The sequence below is a fragment of the Homo sapiens genome, chromosome 8, assembly GCF_000001405.40.
Source record: "Homo sapiens chromosome 8, GRCh38.p14 Primary Assembly".
In the NCBI taxonomy this organism is placed as follows: Eukaryota; Metazoa; Chordata; class Mammalia; order Primates; family Hominidae; genus Homo; species Homo sapiens.
The window spans coordinates 97427261-97447707 of NC_000008.11; the positions used below are offsets into that span (position 1 = coordinate 97427261).

A 20447-nucleotide genomic window follows, 5' to 3' on the forward strand; every position below is an offset into this window, starting at 1 on the left:
CCTTCCCTCAGTGTCAGGAACCAGATGGGTATTTACTGCTCACAAAAGGAAGAGTTCATATTAATTTAATAACAAACTTTTTTTTAGGAAATTCTCTGTGTCAGTTCTTTAGATATAAACTAAGAAAAAGGAGTCATTCTCATCGTGACAGAGACTGAGATGAGACCTGTAAGTGTGGAGTCCACTGGGAAGGTGGCTCTGTTGGACAGAGGCCCTAGCCATAGGCCAACGGGCAGAGAAAGAAGGTGGCAGGTGATTAAGGAGTTGCAAGAGGAGGCTATGTTGCAGAAGAATTACTCTGCCAACAGTAAATGGGGTGGATAGGAATGGGAGAGGATGGGGCCTGCAGTGGAAAGCCAGGCACCTCTGTATCAGGGACGGGCCAGGAGAGGTGGCAGTAGGAAGGCAAACACCTCCCCCACCTCAGACATTCTAAAGAAATACAATGATTGGGACTTAACTAAATAAGTGATGAGATAAAGGTGAACCTATAAGCAAGCCTGAGTCAATGCTAGAAATGGATGAGGAAGTAGCCGGGTGTCTTGGTCTGTTCCAGCTGCTATAACAAAGTGCCATAGACTGGGTAGCTTATAAACAACATAAATATATTTCTCACAGTTCTGGAGGCTGGAAGTCTGAGATCAGGATGCCAGCATGGCAGGGTTCTGGTGAGGGATCTCTTCCAGCTTGAAAATGGTCTGTTTTATAAAAAGAGGTCCTCATAAGGGTGCTAATCCCATTCATGAGTGCTTCACCCTCATAATCTAATTACTTCCCAAAGGCCCCATCTCCTAAAACCATCACACTGGGGATTAGGATTCCAACATAGGATTTGGCAGCAGGACACATACATTCAGTCCATTGCAGTGGGTTTGAAAAGTTCTGGTGGACTGAGCTCCAGCAAGCACCTGAAAAATGGCAGAGCTCCTGCATGCCAAAACACCTGTGGTTGACTCACTCTTCCCACAGCCCTAGTATAATCGGCTAGCTTCATTTCCCTCCATGATGCTCTGCAGAAGAAACAGCATCCAAACAGGAGAAAGAATGGAGTCCACTGCTTTGATTTTGCATGTAGCAGACACTAAGCTACTCAATTTTTTCAGACCTTCTAGTTCATTTTTTTTAAGATATATTTATTTGACAACATGGAGTTTGCCCAGAGGAAGAAAATCAATGTGGGAAAATGTTTGGAGATGGTGTCAAAAGAAGAAAGGCTATTGTCTATAAACAGCTGTCATATGGATGGAGTAGACTATTCTCTCTGTTGCTTCAGAGGGGCCAAACAAGGAGAAAAGGATAGAAGCTGCAGGGGGATACATATTGATTCACTATAAGAAAGACTTTTTCTTATAATTAGAATTTGCAACCACACCTCTTGGAGGAATGCATTTCCTGGGATTTTTGCATGATCACAGAGTTATTAAGTTGGTAAGAGCTATAGAGCCCAACTTCTTCATTTTATAGAAAGTAAAATTAAAGCCTGAAAATACTGCAGGCTTACCATTGGTTCTGGAGGTTAGAGTAGGGTCTCCTGCATTGAAGAGGGTATTGAGATGACCTTCAAAGCGTATTCCAACTTGTGAGCCCAGGTTCCCAAAACCTAGCTCATAATAGAAGCAGAAAGGCAGAGTATAATGGGAACTAAGAACATTGGCTTAAAATTGACAAATGGGATCTAATTAAACTAAAGAGCTTCTTCACAGCAAAAGAATCTACCACCAGAGTGAACAGGCAACCTACAGAATGGGAGAAAGTTTTTACAATCTACTCATCTGACAAAGGGCTAATATCCAGAATCTATAAAGAACTTAAACAAATTTACAAGAAAAAATCAAACAACCCCATCAAAAAGTGGGCGAAGGATATGAAAAGACACTTCTCAAAAGAAGACATTTATGCAGCCAAAAAACACATGAAAAAATGCTCACCATCACTGGCCATCAGAGAAATGCAAATCAAAACCACAATGAGATACCATCTCACACCAGTTAGAATGGTGATCATTAAAAAGTCAGGAAACAACAGGTGCTGGAGAGGATGTGGAGAAATAGGAACACTTTTACACTGTTGGTGTAAAAGTTCAACCACACTAGTTCAACCAGTGTGGAAGACAGTGTGGCAATTCCTCAAGGATCTAGAACTAGAAATACCATTTGACCCAGCCATCCCATTACTGGGTATATACCCAAAGGATTATAAATCATGCTGCTATAAAGACACATGAACACGTATGTTTATTGCGGCACTATTCACAATAGCAAAGACTTGGAACCAACCCAAATGTCCATCAATGATAGACTGGATTAAGAAAATGTGGCACATATACATCATGGAATACTATGCAGCCATAAAAAAGAATGAGTTCATGTCCTTTGTAAGGACATGGAAGAAGCTGGAAACCACCATTCTCAGCAAACTATCTCAAGGACAGAAAACCAAACACTGGATGTTCTCACTTATAGGTGGGAATTGAACAATGAGAACACTTGGACACAGGATGGGGAACATCACACACCAGGACCTGTCACGGGTTGGGGGAAGGGGGGAGGGATAGCATTAGGAGATATACCTAATGTAAATGACGAGTTAATGGGTGCAGCACACCAGCATGGCACATGTATACATATGTAACAAACCTGCACGTTGTGCACATGTACCCTAGAACTTAAAGTATAATTAAAAAAAAAAAGAACATTGGCTTTGGTATCAGAACTGAGCCAAATCCTGGCTCCACCACCAACCAGCTGTGTGACCTTGGGCCACCCAATATCTCTCTCTCGTACCTATCTTGCTTCTTTACCTAATAAAATGGGACTGATATTTGTAACTACCTCAGAGGGCTCTCATGAGAGTTAACTGAGAGAATGTATGTTAGCTATTATTACCTTTGCCTGGCCCCAATACCTGACTGATGTAGGTGTTTTCATTGGATTCAAAACATAATTTATCTTACTGTCACTATGCTGAGAAATGCGACACAAAACATGAGATTGCTTTGCATGAACTTACTTACCGCCACGTGAATTCCATCCTTATAGAGCCTTTGGCGCTTCCCTGCCATGCCAGGTTTCTCTTGAAGAAAAGTGGTATCTGAATAAGTATTTACAGTCAATTGTTCACTTACTGAGCAACTACATACTGTACCACTATTCTTCAGGAGACACAGGTCTTGCCCTCAGGAAATGCAACCCAGAGAAGAAGACAGAAGACAGATGGATGCTTTTCTTCCCAAAAGGACTCCACTTCATATCGACTCATTAATGAATCCTTTTTGGGAAAATAGTCATTATCATTTGAACTGTGCCCCCAAACAAAAGATATATTGGTGTGTTAACCTCCCAGTACCCTTAGAATGTGCCCTTATTTGGAGATAGGGTCTTTATTGAGGTAATCAAGTTAAAATGGAGTTATTATGGCAGGCCCTAATCCATGACTGGTGTCGATAGATAGATAGATAGATAGATAGATAGATAGATAGATAGATACATACATACATACATACAGAGATAATCATATATAGATATATATTGATATATATATAGATATAGATAGACAGATATATTGATATATAGATATAGATATATAGATATAGATATAGATATAGATATAGATATAGATATAGATATAGATATAGATATAGATATTGAGTCAGAGTTTCGCTCTTGTTGTCCAGGCTGGATTGCAATGGAATGGCGTGATCTCGATTCACTGCAACCTCCACCCCCTGGGTTCAAGCGATTCTCCTGCCTCAGCCTCCCAAGTAGCTGGGATTACAGGCACCCACCACCACGCTAGGCTAATTTTTTTGTATTTTTAGTATAGACAGGGTTTCGCTGTGTTGGCCAGGCTGGTCTCCAACTCCTGATCTCAGATGATCCACCCACCTCGGCCCCCCAAAGTGCTGGGATTACAGGCGTGAGCCACCGCACCCGGCCTGGTCCTTATAAAAAGGAAACATTTGAACAGAGACAGACACAAACACAGGGAGAGCACCACGTGGAGATAAAGGCGGAAATTGAGGTGATATTTCCACAAGCCGACGATGCCAAAGGTTGCAGCAAACTACCAGAAGCCAGGAAAGGGGAGCAGGACAGATTCCGTCTAATGGTCCTCCAGAGGAACCAGCCCTGCCGACACCTCGATCTCAGCCTTCTAGCCTCCAGAAACAGTGAGACAAAAATTTCTGTTTTTTAAGCCACATAGTTATCACAGCCCTAGCAAACTAACACAATACTCTATGCCAAGTCCTCTGCTAGGCACTATGGGAGATAGATGCAAAATAAGAGCTCTAACGGGTTGTAATGTACTGTCATGTTACACCAGCAGGATGAACAAAGTGTTGGAATAGCTTACAAAAGTGATTAATTTTGACTACGGAGGGAAAAAAGCAAAGGAGTTTTTATAAGGGAGGTGACATTTGAGGTAGCTCTGAAAGGATGAGTCTATGATTTCATGAGGTGGGGAAATGGAGAAGGAATCCTTGAGATCAGGGAAACAGCATAAGTGGAGGAAGATTGATGGTATGTTCGGGGAAGTCTGGCGTGGTTAGAGATGGGGTGCAGGGACAAGGAGGGAGTGGTTGCAGAAGAGACTGTGGCCAGTCTGCAAAGAGTGATGGCAATCTGGTGGAGAAGTCTACTTTTATTTTGTCAACAATGGGGTGTCATCAACAGTTGGGGAAGCTGTGTTATAATTGTACAGATTCAAATCTTTTATCTAAGTGCCCTTTGCCTTCAAACTGACACTGGCCTCATGGTGAGTTCAAACATCCTATCCATACAAGGAACTCGTGTAGCTGGAGGTACCACTAGGTGGGTCTGGATCCCCTGATGCTTGCCCAATAGTGGAGATGCACACCTAGCTTAGTGCCAGGTGCATAATACAAGCTTGTTAGACAACAGCTAATAATCATTCATCCATTCCATAAATTGTTTTTAATGAGATAGGGTCTCACTATGCTGACCACGCTGGTCTTGAACTCCTGGCCTCAAGCGGTCCTCCCGTCTTGGCCCCACAATGTGCTGGGATTACAGGTGTGAGCCACCACGTCTGCGTCCGGCCATTCCATAAAACTTTAATAAGCATCTATTATATCCAGGCTCACTGTTCCAGACACCATGTAATGAAAATGACAAAATCTTTGCCTTTCATTCTAGCAAAAGGAGGCATAGAATAAACACAGAAACAAATAAAAATGATTTCAGATAGAGTGATGAGGAAAACAGAACACATTAAGTGGGATGGTGAATAACAGGGCATGGGGAAGGATGCTGATAAAGGAAGGTTGTTCTAAGGAGATGATATTTTTGCTGATTCCAGAAGGATGTGAAGGAGCTAGGTAAGCAAAGATCTGGGGAAGAGACTTCCAAATATAGGGAGCATCATACCTGAGGTGGCAATGAGTTTGGAAGTTCAAGAAACAGAGAAAAGGACATTGTGGCTGGAGGATCATGGTGTGGAGAAAATAGTAGAAAAATCATCAGAGAGGTAAGTAAGGAAAGGCCCGTGTATTTGGGGCCTTGCAAGTTCTCATAAGAAATTTGGATTTTATTCTGACTGCAATTTAAGCCATTGAGAGTGAGTCTAGTCACCAAGAGAGATGTTTGACATGATTTACCCTTAAAATGACAAAAGTAGAAGCAGGAAAATGAGTTAGGAGGTTCCACAATAGTCCAGATGATGAATGGAGGGAACTTGACTAGGTAGAAGCCATGGAGATGGTGAGGAGTGATAGAATTGGGGGTATATTTTCAAGGGAGGATTACAGGGCTTGATGATGGATAGCTCATGGGCATAGAATGTTGCGTTAGTCCGTTCTATGTTGCTATAAAGGAATTCCTGGGACTGGGTAATTTATAAAGAAAATAAGTTTATCGGCCGGGTGCGGTGGCTCATGCCTGTAATCCTAGCACTTTGGGAGGCCAAGGTGGGGGGGATCATCTGAGGTCGGGAGTTCGAGACCAGCCTGGCCAACATGGTGAAACCCCAGCTTTACTAAAAATATAAAAAAAATAGCTGAGTGTGGTGTCAGGTGCCTGTAATCTCAGCTACTCGGGAGGCTGAGGCAGGAGAATCACTTGAACCCAGGAGGCAGAGGTTGCAGCGAGCTGAGATCATGCCATTGCACTCCAGCCTGGGCAACGAGAGCAAAACTCCATCTCAAAAAAAGAAAAGAAAAGAAGTTTATTTGACTCACCGTTCTGCAGACTGTACAAGAAGTGTGGTGCCAGCATCTGCTTCTGGTGAGGGCCCCAGAAGTCTTGTAATCATAGCAAAAGGCAAAGAGGGAGCAGGTGTATCACATAGCAAGAGTGGGAGCAAGAGAGAAAGGGAGGAGGTGGCAGGCTCTTTCAGACCAGATCTTGAGTGAACTCAGAGTGAGAACTCACTCTTACCACAAGGACAGCACCAAGACATTCATGAGGGCTCTTCCTCATCACCCAAACACCTCCCAGGAGGCCCACCTTCAACAATGGAGGTCACATTTCAACATGAGATTTGGAGGGAACAAGGCATCCAAACCATATCAGCCGTTCAGAGGATTGAGGCTGCATATGTGGCAAATGGTGTCACGCACTAGAGGGGAAGGTTGGAAAAGGGCATGTTTGGTGGGAGAGGGGTAAGATCAAGAGTTCTATTTTGAATGTTTAAACGTCAAGGTACCTATTAGCCTTCTAATGGAGATTGCTATTATGCGCAGCCAGGATTAAGAATTATCTTATTGTGTCTATTAAAGTATAATCAGTCTGACCTGAGTGGGGCATGGAAAGCTAAATCATTCCTGAATCTCGAGCAGTCATTATCCCAAGGCCTATGAGATGTTCCCAGTATAATAAACAAAACCCTCTGGGATGCTGGCCCTGTCTGCACATTCCTGCCCTCTCACTCACAGCTTTCCTCTCATCCCTCCTTCAAAGCATCTCAGCTGGATGGCTACCCAGAAAGCCTCCCACTGCTGCAGAATTGGAAATGTGGGTCCTCCACCTAACAGCTGGGTTGGATCCTGGGTCAGCAGCAGATTAAGGCTACACTGCAGGGGCCTGACCCAGGAGTGTATTTAGGAGCTTCTCAAGTCAGGCAGCAGGAAGTGAGTCATCACTCACCATCAGAGATGTAGGACTCCCTGCAGCTGGACACTGCCACAGCCTGTCAAGCCTCCTAAAGGCAGCTGAGTGCGCTGGAAAGCAGAATGGAAAATTACACTCACGGCCACCCCTTTTAAAGAAAGTTTATGAAACTGACCAGTATATGTTGTGGAAAAGTCTGGGCTCACAGAAGAGGAAAAACATAAACCTGGAAGCTGAAAGCAAGGAAAATTGATTAAAGAAGAACATAAAAACTGCCACACCCTTAGCTATTCCACTAAGACTACCCTGGTTTACTAATTCAGCTCTCCTCTTTTTTTTTTTTTTTTTTTTTTTTTTGAGATGGAGTCTTGTTCTGTTGCCCAGGCTGGAGTGCAGTGGCACAATCTCGGCTCACTGCAACCTCCGCCTCCCGGATACAAGCAATTTTCCTGCCTCAACCTCCCGAGTAGCTGGGACTACAGGCGCGTGTCACCATGCCCGGCTAATTTTTTGTATTTTTAGTCAAGACCGGGTTTTGCGGTGTTAGCCAGGATGGTCTCCATCTCTGGACCTCATGATCCGCTCGCCTCGGCCTCCCAAAGTGCTGGGATTACAGGTGTGAGCCACCGAGTCTGGCCAGCTCCCCTCTTTCTAAGACCCTCTTCTCTCCTGCTTTTCCCTTCCTTCCTGCTCTCTTGTATCAATTTGATTTCTCAGGGAGAGCCTTGGTTTATGGACTCAATTAGTTTTCAAGTGTTTGCTGATGAGCCAATCGCATCCTCCCTTCTTATGTCAGATTCTCTGCATCTCAGTGGCAGGAGAGATGAGCACAGCTGCTCAGATGCCCCTCCAGGAGCAGCCTCTGTGCACCCTGTTGGCTTTGGAGGGGCTAATAAACAGCATCCCTATTCCCCACTGGAGTTCTGAAACAGTTCAGAGGTAGACATGGGAACCTGGAGGTTGAAGGTGGAGAGAGCACCCTCAATACAGATGAAAAGCTCTATCGGAGGCCATGGCTTAGTTGTTACTCACCAGTGACAGCTGCAGTTGGAAAATGACAGGCTCCTCCTTGGAGACCAACCCTGTCAGGCTTTCCTCATAACAGAGGACAAAAGAAATCTCGTCTTTACTAAAGGCAGGTAAAGCTAAGCTCCTTCTCCCAGACTCATCAATCAGGTCAAACACTCCTCGTCTGGAGAAGAGTGACACACGACACAGGAGCAGAGGGAGAGCGGAGTGTTCCTCTAGAAAGGATCCTCCACACAGAAGGAACCATGGAGAGTGGAACCAGATCATAAATATTTTAGGCTTTGCAAGCCAAAATCCCAAAATCAAGGCCATTATTTATGTAGTACTCATAAGAAAGGACATAAACTTCTACAATTTTTAATTGGTATGTTTTTAAAATACGATAATAGTAACAATTTGGTATAATTTTGTACTACAGGTCTACTCATAAGAATAAATTTTCAACTTTTGATACAAATGTATATGGTACACGTGCAATTTTGTTACATGTATAGACTGCTTAGTGGTCAAGTCAGGACTGTTAGGGTACCCATCACTCAATTAATGTAGATTACAATGCTTGCTGACACCTCGTCTACCTTTGCTCCCTTCTAATGTTTCTCTACACTCAACAACACGAATATATTTGAAATACTTACCTGCTTAAAATACTTCAAAGGATTCCCACTATCCTTAGGTCTGAGACTGACATCCTTAAAAGACCCTTTATTGCCTTTCGATAATCATTTTGTTTTGTTTTGTTTTATTTTATTTTATTTTATTTATTTATTTATTTATTTATTTATTTATTTATTTATTTATTTATTTTGAGATGGAGTCTTACTCTGTTACCCAGGCTGGAGTGCAGCGGCACAATCTCAGCTCACTGCAACCTCCACCTCCCAGGTTCAAGTGATTCTCCTGACTCAGCCTCCCAAGTGGCTGGGACTACAGGTACACACCACCATGCCGGGATAATTTTTGTATTTTTGGTAGAGATGGGGTTTTGCCATGCTGGCCAGGCTGGTCTCGAACTCCTTACCTCAAGTGATCTTTTCGCCTCGGTCTCCCAAAGTGCTGGGATTAGAGGCGTGAGCCACCGCGCCCAGCCTTCGATAATCATTTTGTACCATATTACTTAGCGCTCACTCCATTTCACTTACACTAGACTTACTTATTCTTAGTCACCATGTTCTAACCTGCCTCAGGGCACTTGTACATACAGGTTCTTTTGCATGAAACACTATTCCCTCTCCTCTTGCTTATTTAATATTATCAGAGTTTAGATCTAAAGTACACTGTTGGCTGGGTGCAGTGGCCCATGCCTGTAATCTCAGCACTTTGGGAGGCCGAGGCAGGAGGACTGCTTGAGCCCATGAGTTCAAGACTAGCCTTGGCAACATGGCAAGACCCTGTTTCTACAAAAAAAAATAATAATAAAATAAATAAAAATTAGCTGGGCATGGTAGCACACGCCTGTGGTCCCAGCTACTCGGGAGGCTGAGGTGGAGGATCACCTGAGCCCAGGAGATTGAGGCTGCATGAACCATGATCGCACCACTGCACTCCAGCCTCAGTGACAGAGTGAGACCCTGTCTCAAAAAAAAAAAGAAAAGAGAAAGAAAATAAATGGTCAGTTCTTTAGAGAATACTTCCCTTATGTCTCTTTGTCAACCACACACACAACCATATACATTGCTTGCTTTCATAATACGAGTGTCTTATTTACATTATCATACTACAATTGAAATTGTAAGGTGGCTCTAGAAGTCATTTAGAACTGAGCATGATCATTTCTTCTCAAAACTCTCTCCAGGTCTCACTATCCTGTGATTTGAAGTCTAAACACTTTAGGCTGGAATGACATAGTCTGCTAACTTTTCCCCAATATCCACTCTCTCCTTACTTTTTTTTAATACAACCCTTGCCCTCCCCCACACACACCTACGTTTTAACTGGGCACAAGGTTTTTCAGCTACAGTCTACATTTTCTATGTTTCCATATGACTACTTTCTAGCTAATGAGACGTGAGGAAAAATACTGTGGGCAATGTCTAGATCATCTTCTTAAAAGAAAATTGCTTGCCCTCTATGTCTTTTTTTTTTTTTTTTTTTTGAAACAGGAACTGGGTCTTGCTCTGTCGCCCAGGCTGGAGTGCAGTAGCATGATCATAGTTCACTGCAGCCTCAAATTCCTGGACTCAAGAGATCCTCCCACCTCCCAAGGTGAAGGGACTACAGTCTCAGCCTCCCGAGTGGCTGGGACTACAGGCACGAGCCATCACACCCAGCTAATTTTTTATACATAATATTTGTAGAGACAGGGTCTCACTATGTTTCCCAGACTGGTTTCAAACTCCTGACCTCAAGCAATCCTCCCTCCTCGGCCTCCCAAAGTGCTGGGATTACAGGTACGAGCTACCATGCTCGGCCTATGTCCTCTTTCTTCCTTTCCATGCACTAGAAGAGAGATGGGGTAGGAATGAACCAGATTCAACCATGCAGAAGATATCTCAGGGGACAGAAGCACAATAAAATGAAGGCACGTGGGACTCTGGATACCTCTGTGAAGCAGAACAAATCACCTCCCTGGGTCACCTACCAGCTTGGACATTTACAGGACTTAGAACTAAATCTTCTACCTTGATTTCTATTAAAGTGACCAAACCGATGTACTAATACCAGTACTCAAGGATCTGTGAGTTCTGCTCCTAGTCATCCTACTTCCCCTTCCAGTCCTGCAGGAACCCACAGTCATGCTCCTGAACTTGCCACCTGCATCCTTGCTCTGGCCTTTGACAAGTTGGTTCTGGAAACATCCTCCTATCCTCCTCACCTATTTTTCATCTGTCCAAGTTTACACATCCATTGACATCCAACTCACACTCATTTCACTAATTTAACAAACTCTTTAATATTAAGCACCTACTATGTGTCCAACACTGAATGATTTCTGCCTATAATCTAAGGGCAGCTATTTCTAAATGTCAGCTGTTACATGCAACTCACCTGCCTCTCTAGTGTCAGGTGTCCATTTGGACTCCCTGCTGTGGGCTCTACCCACCAGATTATATCCCTGGGCACCAACTCTATCCAAATCATTGCTGAAAGCATTTCCCGTGTAATAAAGAACTTGGCCTCTGTCTCCAGGTCCTGGAAGGCAGTGTCTAAATCCTTAAAATTTCCCAAATGATAAGAGTGTCTTTGTTATTCATGGTGGGTCCCCTGATAGTTGTTTAGGCTAATGAGGTGACTCATGGTGGACCGTGACTCATGGTGGACCCCCTAGATAGTTTATAATAGAGAGATAACTCAGGATCGGGACTAGCCATACCAGAAAGAACAATGACGCGATCAGAGGTTTGGTGCTTTGAGCCACACGGTATCAGCCCAGCCTTTAGGAAGAAAAGGAAGGCTGAAGATTGAGTTCAATCATATAGCCAATGATTCAATCAATCCTGTCTACATAATGAAACCTTAATAAAAACTCAGAACACCAAGATCAGGTGAGTTCCCTGGTGGTGATACTCTGTCACACTACAGAGTGTCTGTTGTACTGAAAGGTACTGTTGTATCTGGTGTACTGAAAGGAAAATACTTCCTGACTCCACAGGGAGAGGACACAGAAGCTTTTCTCAGAACTCACCTATGTCTATCTTCTCTGGGCTGGTTCTAAATTGTATTCTTTTTGCTATAACAAAACCCACAGTCATAACTGTGCAATTTCCTGAGTTCTATAAGTCCTTCTAGCAAATTACCAAAACTGAGGGGTATAAGCTTCCAAATTTGTAGCCAGTTTGTCAGATGTAAATGCAGCCTAGAGACCTCCAGATTTGCAGCCAGTATCTGAAGTGAGAGTAGTCTTACGGAGGGCTGAGCCTTTAATCTGTAGTTTGGCTTAACTCTGGGTAGTGTCAGAAGTCATGGCAGTGTTCTTCCTGCTGGGGCTGAGTATCTGGATTACCTAATTATGTGCTTCATTCATTTAATCATCTAGCAAAACTATATTGAGCATCAACAATGTGCTAGGTACTGAATTCAGGGTTGGATAAAACATAGATGAGATAATTCTAATCCCTGCCCTCAAACAGTTTGAAATCTTGTACAAAAGGAAATTACAACAGTATGGTAAATATTCACAGAATTGTGTGTGAAGTTTGCCACAATCAAAGGGAGGATCAACTACAAGGTGTGGGGAGAGGGCACTCCAGGGGACTTCCCAAAGGAGGCCGCCTCTGAGCTGGCTTTTGAAAGATGAATAAGCATTTGCCTCATGGGCAAAGAGAAAGGGCATTGTATTTAGCAGGGATTGCATGTGCAAAGGCACAGCGGTGTGAAAAGGTGCACTGTATTCAGGTACAGTCATCTGTCCTTATCCTTGGAGGACATATCCCAAGACTCCCAATGGATGCCTGAAACCACAGATAGGACCAACCCCTGTATATACTGTGTTTCTTCCTATACATACATACATACATACATACATACATACATGCCTACGATAAAGTTTAATTTATAACTTAGGCACAATAACAGATTAACATCAACAACTAATAATAAAATAGAACAATTATAGCAATATTGCCAACATCACTGCTCTTGTGCTTTGGGGCCATTATTAAGTAAACTAAGGGTCACTTGAACACAAACACTGTGGTACCATCACAGTGAATCTGATAACCAAGCTGGCTGCTAAGTGACTAACAGTCAGGGAGCGTGTCCACAGCATGGGTATGCTGGACAAAGGGAGGATTCACATCTCAGGAAGGACAGTGAGAGGTTTCATCACGCTATTCAGAACAGTGTGCAATTTAAAACTTATGAATTGCTTATTTCTGGAATTTTCCATTTAATATTTTTGGACTACTGTTGAGGAGAGTGAACCTGTGGATAAGGGGGACTACTGTACCTTTAAGTTTATTCATATTTTTGGAACACAGTGTGGGAATGAGAAGTAGGGAGTAGAAGAAGATAGGTCTGGGGAGTAGGAAGAGGCCTTGTTTTCCATGCTGAGCAGCTTGAACTTTGTTCTAGAAGTTTCTCAAAGTGATGCCTAGAGTCCAACTGGAAATAAATAAAGTTTAACAAGCAAGCCTTTTTGAGAATGACAGCAGTGGATAATAAGAAACCTGCACAGACTTGCATTTTGAAAGACCACTCAAGACTTGCAGTGTCTGGAAAAAAACAGCTAGGTTGCTCAGATCAATCTTCCAGCTGAAATCAAAGAAAAATGAAATGTTGTAGAAACAACAACTTAAGGCCAGGTGTGGTGGCTTATACCTATAATCCCAGCACTTTGGGAGGCCAAGGAAGGGAGGATTGTTTGAGGCCAGGAGTTCAAGACCAGCCTGGATGACATAGCAAGACCCCATCTCTACCAGAAACCAGTAAGGGGGCAACTCAAAAATACTGAAGAGCAGAAAAGATAAGAGGAACTTCCCAGGCTAATTTTTGGATGAAAACCCATAACCAGAAAGGTAAGCCAAATCCCTCAGATCATAAGCCTCACTTTCTGAGGCTCTAGGGCAAAATTATTTCCTATTCTGTCAATTGCATTTTGGTAAATTTCCAAGTGGTGAGCTGCCCTTTTACGGAGCATACCTGGTAATAACTACTTTTTCTTCCTCAGAGAGGCTGTGATTCCTGGAATGTTTAATGTGGCGGTTGATTGGACTTATGCCTTTGGTCAGCAGCTCAAAGAATGCTACAATTCACTCTTCTACAAAGCAGACATCCAGCCTTGATACCCAACCCAGAACTCTGAAAGAATGAAAATTTGCCATCTCTAGCAGGTGGAATTATCAGTAGGTACTTTATTAATGCCCAGTAGCTCAATTTCATAATGTTTCCCTTTTTTTATTAAGAACTAACATCCTTTTGTTGGTCCATATCACCAGCATGCTGTGTCTGGGGTGTTGCACTGTTAACAGAAATCAACAATCCTCCTCACAGCTCCATAAAGATAAGTGGGTGAGAGATTGTATGGCACCTGTAGGGCTGGGAAATTTTATCTGAAATTCCCATAAGCAAAACTGCAGTAAAGACCTCTTTGCCCTTTGTTAATTGAAAATAAACTACTCCTTTTTTTGGAGGAGGCCTCTGAAAGCTGCCATGGAAACAAGCTCACTAAAGGCTTCAGCAACTGCTCAGATATTTAATTTCACCCACAGTGAATGTAATCCAGGCAAGAAGTGCTCACAATATGAAAACATTGATTAGCAGGGGACTGCATGTGTACCTTGCTGGGTACAGGCCCCACTTTCTTTCTCTTTGAGGACGCTGAGCTTGAACATCCAAGGGGAAAGACATCCAAAAAGCATCGCCACAAACCAGCTGTGAAGCTGACCAAGAAGATCATGGGTTCTGCCCGCAGGGAGGAAAACACAGGGTAAATTACTGGAGAAGTCAGCTTCTTCTGCCCCTCAGAGAAATGAGGAAGCTCAAGTCAGGATCGGGAGACTAGAAGACTCCAGAAAAAAAAAAAAAAAAAAGGCTTATCTCTGATTCACCCTCTGCTGCAGTAACCAAGCCTTCTATCAGTGGCTGAGATTTCAGAGTCATTTTCCCAGAACGAAAAAATGATATTTCCAAATCAAAGAGAGGACAAAGGACAGGATTAATAAAAGGGGGTTGGCGACCTCTTTGAAAAGGAAGGCAGAGCTCGGCATCTTTTATATTCTCCCAGTTGTCCAGACTCCCACCCCCAAGCCATGTCGTCATAGCATTCCAAGCGGGAAGAAAAATGAGCAACTGTCAGTCTACCATTTTTACATTCTAGAGGAGGAACTGAGATCCAGCAATGTAGATGAGTGATGTGGCCAAAGCAGTGACAAAACCAGACCCAGAACCCAGGCCCTCTGAGTTCACCCCCTGCACTGACCGTTCACTCACTGACCCTTCCTTGCCTCAATTTTTCAGCAGCCATCAATCAGCAAGTTCTACTGAGTCTCATTTTCCCATTTACTTTCTTGCCAGTGCTACTACACAAGCACAAGCCCTTATCATCTTGACCCAAGACAAAAGGAGAATAAGGTCAGGGTTCTGTGCTAAGCCCTTGGCAAACATGCCTTTAAATCCTTACCACAACCTAAGAGGTGAGTAATAATTCCTCTTTTGTAGATGAAGAAACAGGAGCTTGGAGACTGAGAGAGGCTACACAATGACAAGTGACAGAAGCTGGACTCAGACCCCTCATTCCTCTGAGCCCAGGTCCATGCTAATAACCCATCACTCTATTGCCTCAGGAGACTATGTCCATGGCCTCCTAGTTGTGTTCATTCCCTTCCCATTTTAAACTATCTTGTACCCTGAAGCCAGATTGATCTTCTTTAAATTTCCCTTTAATCATGTCACTACCTTCCTCAAAAGCCCTGCCCCTTGTCTTGCGCTTTGATGTGGTCCTACTGACAAGTTCAGCTCTGCCCTCCAAGCTCACACACTGTCCTGTGGATGTTCTCACATGCCTCTTTCCCTCCCCTAGAATGTTTTCCCCTGCCTTTTCCTTCACCCTCAAAGCCCCAGTAATGGCTTCTTTATTTCCTCAATACTAACTGAATGCCTACTAACTCTTCTACAATATTTATTGCTAAGAGGCAGTATTGCTCAGTGGGCAAGGCACAGACTCCGGAACAATTTGCCTGATTTGAATCCTGATTCCACCACTTATTAACCACGCGACCTCAGGCAAGTTTCTCAACCTGTCCATGCTTCAACTTCCCAAAACATAAAATGATGATATTTACGGCTCCTATTTACAAGGTTCTTGGAAGGATTAAATTAGTTAATACATATAACACTTTTGGAATTGTGCAAGGAGCAGACTAATAGCTCCAAAACCATGAGCTAGTCCTAGCAGTAGTGGTAGGTACCAAGCACTGGCCTCATTGCTGGGATCCAGAGATGAGTAAATCACAATCAGTCCCAGCCAAGCACAGTGGCTCACCTGGCCAAGATGACGAAACCTCATCTCTCCTAAAAATACAAAAATTGGCCGGGCGGTAGTGGAGTGCACCTGTAATCCCAGCTACTTAGGAGGCTGAGGCAGGAGAATCACTTGAGCTTGGGAGGCAGAGGTTGCAGTGAGCCGAGATCATGCCACTGCACTCCAGCCTGGGTGACAGAGCGAGGCTCTGCCTGAAAAAAAATAATAATAATCACAATCAGTCCCTTTCCCATACATCTAGTGAGCAAAGTGGACATGTCAACCGATAATCATAGCCCAGTGCCCTAGGTGCTGTAATAAAGGCAGGTACAGAGGGCTGCGGGGAACAGAAGAGATATTAAGTGTCTGGAGTAGGGTAAGATTTCAGAAAAGAAAAAAAAGTTTCATCTCAAAATTAAAGAATAATTGGAGTTCTTCCTAGTGCCCCTGCATGCACATGTCGCTATCATCCAGAGATATCATCCAGAGGTTGCCAGGAGCCCCAGTGGCTGGAACATAGCATTTGTGGGGCTGGCAGTGAAGCTGGCAAGGCAAGCAGGCGCCTGATCTCACAAAAAACCTTGTGCCTTTCAGAGAAGGTTGTCCCTGAGACTGTAAGCAGAGGAAAGCCCACCCCAGACCATCACGATCTCAGCCTCTTCTGGCCTCATCTAGAGTACTAATTGCATATTTTACTAATGCCACACTTATTTGCTATCTTATATTATTATTTCTGAAAATCTTGACTATACCAACCCACCAGCAGCGCCTCTCTGAGGCTTCTTATCCCAGGTTGACACATTTCGTACCAGGTAACTCTGCTACCTTGGTCACAGGTGACTGGACCAGGGATTAGCATCTGACCTAAGGGCAGCTACCCTATGGTTGGCCAGTGCCCTACAGGAGGTGGCCCAGAACAAAGCCCAGCTCATTGGTGCCATTCTATCCTGCACGCTGACTGCCTAGACAGAGTACCTCTCTCAGGGAATTTCAAATGTGAGACACAGAAAGGAAAACAGACACAGGGGCAACAGACGTGGAAAAACTCACTTGGAAGAAAGCAGTAAGCAGAAGACGTGACAAGCTGAGCCTAGAGGTAGAGAACAGAGTGAGTCAGTCATGTCAGAACAGCGACATGGACAGAAGCCGCTAAGACTCAGTGAGACAGAACACTGGCCGAGGGATCCCAGAACGAGATAAACCACGGTATATGGTTTATCTCATATGAGGCCACTGAACTGTGGCCTCATTCCCAAAGATCATTCCTATCATTCCTGTTTTTTGTGAGTTCGGGCAGTGTCACTGACTAAGACAATTTTCTGTTTCTCATGATTTCATGAGCATCCTCGTAATAAACCCCAAAACACCCTGAGCACATTGCTTCTCCTTGCCACATGTCCTTTCTGCTCGATTAAAAAGTGTGTTCTGTCATGGGGGAATGATGGCCGGTGGTGTGAGGGTGAAAGAATTTACCAAGACAGTTGTAGGTAAAGGAAGGCAGATTTATTTGAGAAAGTAGGAAAATACGTGGCCAGAGAGACAACGGGCAAGTCCGCAGAAGCTGACTGTGAAGAAACAAAGGCTGGCTGGAGAGTGTATGGGATGGTGTGTACGCTGTCTGTTGAAGGAGGCTTTGTGCAGCACTGGTAACGCCAAGGTTGGGCTGCAGGGAGCTGACTTGCAGGTGTCTGGTGAGGGTTGGGCACAGGAAAATTGTGAGTTACTTTCACAGGAGGGCTGTGTGTCCTGGACCATGCAGAAAGGTGGACTTGTTGCTCACTTCCTTTCTCTTTTTGCTTTCCCTTCATTCCACCAGCCTGGCTCCCTTTTCCCCATGGAACGCCCATGTTCCATGAGGGCTTTCTTATGGAACAGAGAAACAGCCCATGCGTTAGCAGAAAAGCAAGACCCAGAAGGGCTGATTCTGAGCGATGTCCAGGATTTTCGTGGGAGAGGATGGAGGCAACTTTAGGGGGACTGGGGAGACATGAGGCAAGAGAATTGCAGAGGAAGCAAATCTTACAGGGATCTGGGCTTTCTCCTGAGGTTCTGGGGCCCGTTTAAGGGATTAGGAATGAAAAAATATGATCAGGTTTGGGATTGCTGGATAAAATGTTGCCGCTTCATACAATACACACTGTTATCTCCAATACACATGAGTGTCTCCATGGAAGTAAACATAAGGTATTTGGGGTCTCAGAGCAACTCTCTTCTGTGAAAATGTCTGATTCCTACATGACCAGGAAGGAAATCCATCTCTCCAGGAATATTCACCCAGCCAAAAATGTAAAGCAGAGAAAAAGAAATTTAGACACATCACACATCTAGTGCCTAGATAAAGGACCTCCCCCAACCCCATCCCCCGCAACCCCTGGAAGAACAACATCAACAGTGATTTTCTTAACACAAAACACAACACGCACACAAAGAAGACCCAGAGCTGGTGGGGGCTTTTGTTTTTTTTTTTTTTTTGAGACGGAGTCTCGCTCTGTCACCCAGGCTGGAGTGCAGTGGCGCGATCTCAGCTCACTGCAAGCTCCGCCTCCCGGGTTCAAGTGATTCTCCTGCCTCAGCCTCCAGAGTAGCTGGGACTATGGGCGCACGCCACCACACCCGGCTAATTTTTGTATTTTTAGTACAAATGAGGTTTCACCATATTGGCCAGGCCACTCTCAAACTCCTGACCTCTTGATCTGCCCGCCTCGGCCTCCCAAAGTACTGGAATTACAGGCGTGAGCGACCGCGCCCGGGCTGATGGGGGCTTTTTAAAGACATGTGTAATAGCACACAAATTTCTCTCTCAGGAAAAACAATCTCTAAAGAAAAATTTAATGGAAAATTCACACCATGAGTATCTTACCTACCTTACCTTGGCCCGAGTTTCACAAATACTTGCTTCTACCCCACACAGCCAGGCACTGAGAAGTGTACAGAAAGACTCCAACTGCCCGAGATTCCCAGAGAAGCAGAACACACAGAGCCACGACGAGAACTCAGGATGGAATAAACTTCCAGGTCCATGTGAGCTTCCAGGACCCAGCCCACATCTGCCAACCCACCGTGTCCTCTGCTTCATGTTTACCCTGCATCCTTTTCACTGATGCCTTCAAATATCCGTGTGTGCACGGGAACAGTGGTTATGCTGCCAATTTAAAGAACCAAGGCTTCAGAGGAAAGGAAACTCATGCGTGCCCCCACCACCGACTCCCCGGTTCCTGCTGGTTATTTGTAAAAGTTATTCACAGGAGGAAGAGAAAGAGCCTTCGTGTGTGATTCCCTGCTCACATCACGGTGGGGTGAACCAAGGTTCTCTGTGCAGCTTCCTCCACCATCTGTTCGCACTGCCTTCTATCGGAGACTTGGCAGGGAAACACTCACTGTTTTTCATCCCAACTCAAAGACAGTGAGATTTTTCATACCTGCACAGGAACCATGCAAGTTGTGATTGAAAAGAGCATCATGGGATGCAAACAGAAAGAAAAGCGGTGAAGGCGCCAAGCTGCGGATTCTAACAGCTTCCAGAACGCTTGGCCATAAGTGGCCGTCAGACTGCGGAGTTCCATTTCCTTCTTTTCTTTACAGGTTAAACTCTGTCAAATTTGATCCAACTCCAACCCAAACTTCTGTTGAATGAAATGATTGTTTTCTAAGCTCCAGCTGGTAGCGAACTCATTCTGAGACATATTCAGTATAACTGAACCGCAGTGTAACATAAGGGGGTGCCTTGGCCTGAATTTTCCTTTCCTTCCTCTGGTTCTCAGTCCCCTTCTTCTCTTCCTCCCTTCCTTCTCACCTCTTTCTTTTCAGGGTTTTTTTTTTTTTTAAACCCTTTGTTAAGTTCACTTTTCAGGCCTCATTTCTGCTTCATTTTCTTTTTTTTTTTTTTTTTTGAGATGGACTCTCACTCTGTCACCCAGGCTGTAGTGCAGTGGCACAATCTCGGCTCACTGCAACCTCTGCCTCCCAGATTCAAGCAAATCTCCTGCCTCAGCCTCCTGAGTAGCTGGGATGACAGGTATGTGCCACCATGCCCAGCTAATTTTGTATTTTTAGTAGAGAAGGGGTTTCACCACGTTGGCCAGGCTGGTCTCGAACTCCTGACCTCAGGTGATCCACCCGCCTTAGCCACCACGTCCAGCCTTCTTCATGTTCTAGACGTCTTTCACCCTTTCCTATCTTCACCCTCACTTATTTACACTTCACTCTTTTGCCTTTTGTTTCTCTCTTCTTTCTTCTGTCTTCTTGTCCCTTCTCAATCTTAATGTAGAGAGAAGCTACAAACTCAAAACCAGGTAATGTTGAAAATGTTACCAAACGGGACCACACAGCACTGACTCATCAGAACAGACACTAGCGGTTGAACTGCAGCAAGGTCTAGAAGGTTTCCCGCTCTACCACTAACCAGTGGGTTGTGGGGAGGTCTGGGGGAAGCAGGCACCAGGCAGGGAGAT

The 20447-nt window shown here is 44.3% G+C and overlaps 1 long non-coding RNA gene across 1 annotated transcript in view; it reads right to left on the reverse strand.

Moving 5' to 3' along the window:
- LOC101927066 (uncharacterized) overlaps window positions 1-19237 on the reverse strand; it is a 494634-nt gene extending 475397 nt beyond the window's left edge. The window contains exon 1 of the long non-coding RNA NR_125390.1: window positions 18866-19237. This is a non-coding gene — a long non-coding RNA (uncharacterized LOC101927066). The remainder of the gene's footprint in view (window positions 1-18865) is intronic.
- Window positions 19238-20447: the final 1210 nt, after the last annotated feature.